This window comes from Homo sapiens, chromosome 1 (assembly GCF_000001405.40).
Source record: "Homo sapiens chromosome 1, GRCh38.p14 Primary Assembly".
Classification (NCBI taxonomy): Eukaryota; Metazoa; Chordata; class Mammalia; order Primates; family Hominidae; genus Homo; species Homo sapiens.
In genome coordinates this window covers 170,734,106-170,740,105 of record NC_000001.11, presented here as the reverse complement: position 1 = coordinate 170,740,105, position 6,000 = coordinate 170,734,106, and the positions used below count along the sequence as shown (strand labels likewise).

Below are 6,000 nucleotides of genomic sequence, written 5' to 3'. Positions count from 1 at the left end.
CATGCCCTCACTTGAAAAGCCATCACCTGTTCTTCACCTGTCCGGATCCTTGCTGATAAAATTCAAGTCCCAGTTCCTCTGTAAAACTGGTCTCCCACTTCAACTAACAGCATGTTCTCTCTCTTCCTCTTCTGAACTCCTTTTATCTGTTCTGTTTGATACTTATTAATATATTATCTTGAACTGTTGCTTATTTTTGCATGCTAGGGTTGCTTTTTAAACCAGATTTTAATTGATATGAAAACAGCATCTGTGTCTCACAATTTAGTTTTTCTGTCCTCCCCATGACCACACACCCATGCTATGCACAATGGATGCTTAAGAAATTTTATTTTTCTATTTCTTTACTCCAGAAGAAACAGCCATGCTTATATGAAGTCTTTTCCATATGGTGTCCAGTATTGTGAATGTTAAAGATATTGATTTTGAAAATGCTAAACTCTCATAAAAGTTCCACTCTATTCTCATCTATTATAATAGTAAGTGTCCCCTCTTCTTCCTACCATTGTCTTTGTTTCTGAGGAAAAATAGATTATTTTCCTGTTTTATGGAAAATAATATCACACTCAGATAAAGTTATCTTGTCTATAAGCCCTTCTTACCTTCACTGTTCTGCATGTAATCTCAGATTCTAGCAGATCTGTGTTTTTGAAGTTCAAAGAGAAAAGAATCAGCAGGCTTAAATGTATATAACAAAAGACATGGTAGAGTCCTTCTTTCTTTTTATTGAAAAGAAATCATTTCTATTCTAGCGCAAACAATGTATATTTTACAACATAAAGCAAGATATAATTTACATATTACATTTCTTATGAGATCTTTATACCCTAAATGTCATTCCCTTTTTTATTAAGTCACCTCTTCTGGTTTAATTTAACCTGCCAAGTACCCTACAAATCAGCATCTTGTTTGAAGGGAGATTGAGGACACAGGCAGATAGTTCCTATGTATTCACCTGTATCTGGTATCATGATGGTGAGGAACAGGGTTATGTCTTGACATTTGCAGCCCTGAGGACCTCCACTGACAACTGGCTTAAGATCCAGAAGGCATCTTTTCCAAATCACATACCAAACTTGTATTTTAAAAATTTGATAATAAATGAACAAAATTGAGAGCTTGTACAACATGTATATTTCTTGATCAAGTGCTTAGATAATACATGCTTATGGTATTGGTTCACCAGCAGTGAATGTTTCTTTGGCTGACCAGCACTTGTTACTCTATGATATTCCCAGACATTGCTTGCTTGAGACATTGGATAAAACCACCCAACTTCACCTATCATTTGGGTTTATGGGTTCAGGCTTTGCTGTTTGCCACTGGAAATGGATGTCTGAATCAAAATTTCAAATGATTTTGTTTCACATGTCCCTCTATCTAAGGTTTTCCCCTTCTCAGTAAAACCTTTTCATGTATGATTTCTGTTCCCTCCCTATAATTCAAATCTTCTTAGCCATTCTCTTCAAGCTCCAAACCTCCAAAGTTCACCAGTTACTTGGATTATACTCATTTCACTTAGAATGTTTCAGTCTGTTGGGATGTACAGTTCCTTCAAAACTTGATAATCCACAGCAACTAATGGGACAAATGGATGAATGGGGGAACTCTTCAGGAAGCAAGTAATGCGTGCTGTTCAGCAAGCCTACATGAACCATTCAGTAAGAAATGTTTTAATAGTGGGCTAAAAGAAGAAGGAATCAATTGGTGAAAGCAAAATGTATAAGATGAGCTTCATTATTATTTAAAGAACTACAGAATCAACATTTGAAATACAATTTCAGATTGGTGGCTGTTAGATTGAAATAACATCACCATTAGCTCAATCTGATATGCCAAGGGAAATACAAATGTGTGCTAAAAGTGCATCTTAAACCCAAAAATCCTTGCCTGTCACTCAGACTACAAAGTTGGCATGTTTGACCAAAATTGATCCAAAGTTTTTTAATCACTCACAACTAAAAATTATTAGAACTAAGCTGGTCAGGATGAAAATATAAATTAAAAAAATCTGTTCTATGTGTCTTAAATTATTCTTTGGTCAAATGATGTGATTTTTGAGAGATCTGAAAATATAAACCTATTTCTCATTTCCAAATACAAGGTTATAAGTATGTACAGCAAGGTAGCATTTTCTTACTAGAAAACAAGGCTTTCAGGTACCGTATCATTCCATTAACATTGTACACTTTTATAGTCCCTTTCCTCCCATGGCTACAAAGTGCTGGACATACAGAGAATACAGGAAAGAATAAAGGAGCAAATGAATAGAGCCTCACAACACCCCTGTGAGGTAGGTAAGTATTATTAATCCCATTTTACAAATGGGTAAACTGAGGCACAGCATGGTAATGTAGTTGGTCAAGTCCACCTGGCAAGTTACAAAAGCATGGCTGGGAACAAAGAAAAAGAAATGGAAGATCAGTCCTGGCTCCCAGCCCTAGACACTAAACTTTATTTCAAAATATTAAAAAATAAAAATAGCCCACAATTGCCTTTTAAATGTTGGAATTTAGAAAAACCTTTAGGTATTCCTCTTAAACATGTGCCTTTCTTTCATATTCCTGCTAAGTGAAGAACGGATAGATGACTAAATGGTATTCCTTACTCTCTCTAACTGCAATTCCCATGATAGATCAGATGTATCAGCATTTCACCAGAGCTCAGGCTCCAAACTCAAGGACATTTTTATAGCCTCAAATAGTTTCTAATTCATTTAAAGCCCTAATGTGAAAATGGGACCTGTTCTCAAACAGCTGCCCTATCAATTATTCTGTGGCTTTAATGAAAACTTCGTGTAGAAAAAGAAAAGCAGCAAGATCCCTAATTAATGTTTCATCACTATAGAGATAAGAACAGTGGTGAGGGTGTGTAATTTGCTTTTTGTATTGTTTGGGAAATTGCAAACTTAAGCTTGCAATATTATATATATATATGAAATATATATATAAATATATAAATATATACAGTATATATATAAGTGTGCATCTCACTATCCTTAAGGCACGAAAGAGATGTGGGCATGCCTTTTAGAACTCACTCTTTGTGTTACTAGAGAAATTTCTCTTCCTCTCTCAGGTGAAAAATATTTCTTCTACCAAATAGTCTGTGACAGCAAATCATTCAAAGACAACAAATATCTTTAACTTAAGATGATTGATTGATTGATTGCATAGGGTGAGGGGTGGTGGTGATAGTGATATAATCTGTAGCTTCAAGCTTAAATCTATAGCTTAGATGTAGACTTTAGTGCTTAGAATTAGCCAGACGCAGCCAATTACATTGGATCAGACAGTCCAGTGAGCAGATGTTGTGCACAACTATTTTTTCAGAGGCTGATGGAAAAACCTTACCATGACCAACAAAGATGGAGACAATGAGAAAGGGAATTATGTCTGTCCAGCACAGATTCTTCAGAAAGACTTTGGCTTTTCGAAAGCTCCTAGAGCTTCTATAAAGAGAACTGGGAAGAGGACAGGGTAAGGCACTAAGGTTCAAACAAGTCAATGAGGACAGTAGAGGCAATCATTCTGGATATATATATATATATATATATATATAGTTTCTTTGGCTGCTGTAGTTTTTTTTAAAACTTCATACAATCATGGGGGTGGGTGGGCTGAACCTAGCTGAAGAAGCCTGGAGTACATTAAGCAAAGCATGAATGAAAGAAAAACAAAATAAACACACACAGAAACAAGTGGTGGTGGTATCCCAGAGGGAGGAGGAACATTTGTTAACTAATTTTCATTTTGCTCCTCTCCTGCTTTTCTCTGCCATGGTCCCAATATTTTAGTTCTGCTTTGTTTGTTTGTTTGTAATTTACTTTTTCCCCCCAGCAGATGAAGAAATAACAGAGCAGGATAGGTGTCTTATGGTTTTTGATTTCTTCTTAGGCCTGTTTAATTATTTTTTTTCCTCAGTTGACTGTTGGCACCTGGTTCCTCTGTAAACTATATTCCTTGGCCTTCAGTCTCAGGTTGGCAATGCTGTTGGCCATGTTGATGCCCTGTGCAGGGCTATTGTTGGCACATGTGGCAGAATAAGTAGCCATGGCGCTGTAGGGACAAAGGAGAGAGCAGGGAGAATAACAGGCATTAGTTTCACAAAGCTGCAAGTCTGTGCCCCAGATGGATGTACTCTCAGCATGGGGGCAGGCAGGGGCAATGGCTTGGACTAGATGACCTCTAGGGTCCCTTACAGCCCCAGCTTTCCATTCGTCTAAGGTACTTAGGGAAGAGTGGTCATGTTTTGAAGAGCAGGAGAAAGTGGTGTAGAGTGAGGAAAGGGAGGAAGAGGTATTTGTTGTGGTGGATACAGTGAGTAATGATTTATTTCTGGGGTGAGAGAAGAAAGTTGCTCAAGTTGAATAGCAGGTGTTTCATCAGCTGACTTATTAAAACAGTATTTAATCTCTTGTCCTGCCTACCTCCCCAGCCTGTGGGAGCAGTGGGGAATAGAAACAAGCATTTGAAAATAAACTAAAGGGAATTTTGCTCCTTCACTCTAGATAACTGACCTTAATTCTAACACATTTTAGATAATAAATACCATAATAAATAATGTGCCTGGAGAACCAGTTAAACAACCTAACATATGTTCTCTGCCATTCTTAATTTACTGGTTGATAGCACCAAGCTTGCTGAATCAAGAGGTTACTAAGCCACTGGCCTTGATTTTAAAACCTCCTCAAGAGAACTTGAATAGCATACACTGCCTTTTGGGTCAGTTATTTTGAAAATGTTTAAATCTCCTAGATAAACTATCAAAGTCTCCATTTTCAGCATTCTTGATTTCAGAGGTAACTGTTTCTCACTGTCTTCATTGCTGAGAAAAATCTAAACTTGTTTTTCATTGTCATAGATTACAATTAGGACCTAAGAACACCACTAGGCAGAAATTTATCATTGGTGGGTTTCTGTTAATTGCATCCATGAATCTCTGTTAAAGGAAAAAGAAATGGTTTCATAGACTTAATAGCAAATTAGTCTTTCTACTAAATAGTTAAAAGTATACATATTTTACTTCAATAAAAATGTTTTTAGTTGCTTCTAAGATTAGCAAAATCCCTTTCAACTCAGGGCTGGAATGAGATAGACTTATAAATGGAATGACATGTGCTCTTCTGTTGCCTGCATTCCAATGGAATTTTGTCAGCCACATAAGACTTTGTGGTTCTGGGGATCAAGTGACAAGATCAGAAAGAGAGAAAAGTAAAGCTACTCCACAAATAGAATATATCATTGATACTTATTTGGGACACCACGGAGTCAAAACTCATAATAACCTATTTCAGCTCAGTTACTAATAATTAACTCAAGAAAATTAAGTTAAGAAATATAATGAGTCCCAGATCACTAGGTCTTTCCAGAAATATACATCTTTAATTTAAAATCTTTATAGCCCTGGTTAAGTGTATGGGTGACTGTGTGTGTGTGTGTGCACACATACATGTATGTGTTCTGACACAGGAGACTCAGAAAGGTTTCAAAAGGATCCTACCTTCTTCTATTTCAGTTTTGCCTGCTTAACTCTTACTCATCATTTCATGATAGATGATCTCAACCCTCTAGACCAGGCTACGTTCTTTTATAACACACTAAACTTTTGCTTTTAGCACTTGATTCAAGTTTAGTTAATAATTTGTTTAGTATCTATCACTGTTTCAACTATAAGCTCCATAGATCAGACACCACATCTGCCTTGTTCACAACTGTTTCCTCAGGTAGAAATGACACCATATCTAGTACCATGTGTTCAATGAATAGACAGATAACTAAGAAATATCTATATATAGTGTGATTAAATTGATTCCTGCTCGATGTCATTGGTTTCTGTCATTCTGCTGTGAGCAATGATTTCTAAAAAAAAAAAAAAAAAAATCTTACCAATATGCTTTTATTCATAGGAACTGGTCCTTACTGCCAATTTTACTATCTTAATAGAAAGGGCAAAGTCAGTAGGACATGACAAAAGCAGGAGCTGGTGACTGTGTATACT

The 6,000-nt window shown here is 36.4% G+C and overlaps 1 protein-coding gene across 3 annotated transcripts in view; it reads right to left on the bottom strand.

Annotated features, from left to right (window-relative positions):
* The window catches only part of PRRX1 (paired related homeobox 1), a 76,654-nt gene continuing 71,338 nt past the window's right edge, over positions 685–6,000 (bottom strand). For all 3 annotated transcript variants that reach the window (XM_006711388.4, NM_006902.5, NM_022716.4), the window contains one exon: positions 685–4,058. In XM_006711388.4, coding sequence (XP_006711451.1) covers positions 3,920–4,058 — 139 coding nt within the window. In that variant the 3' untranslated portion in view covers positions 685–3,919. The remainder of the gene's footprint in view (positions 4,059–6,000) is intronic.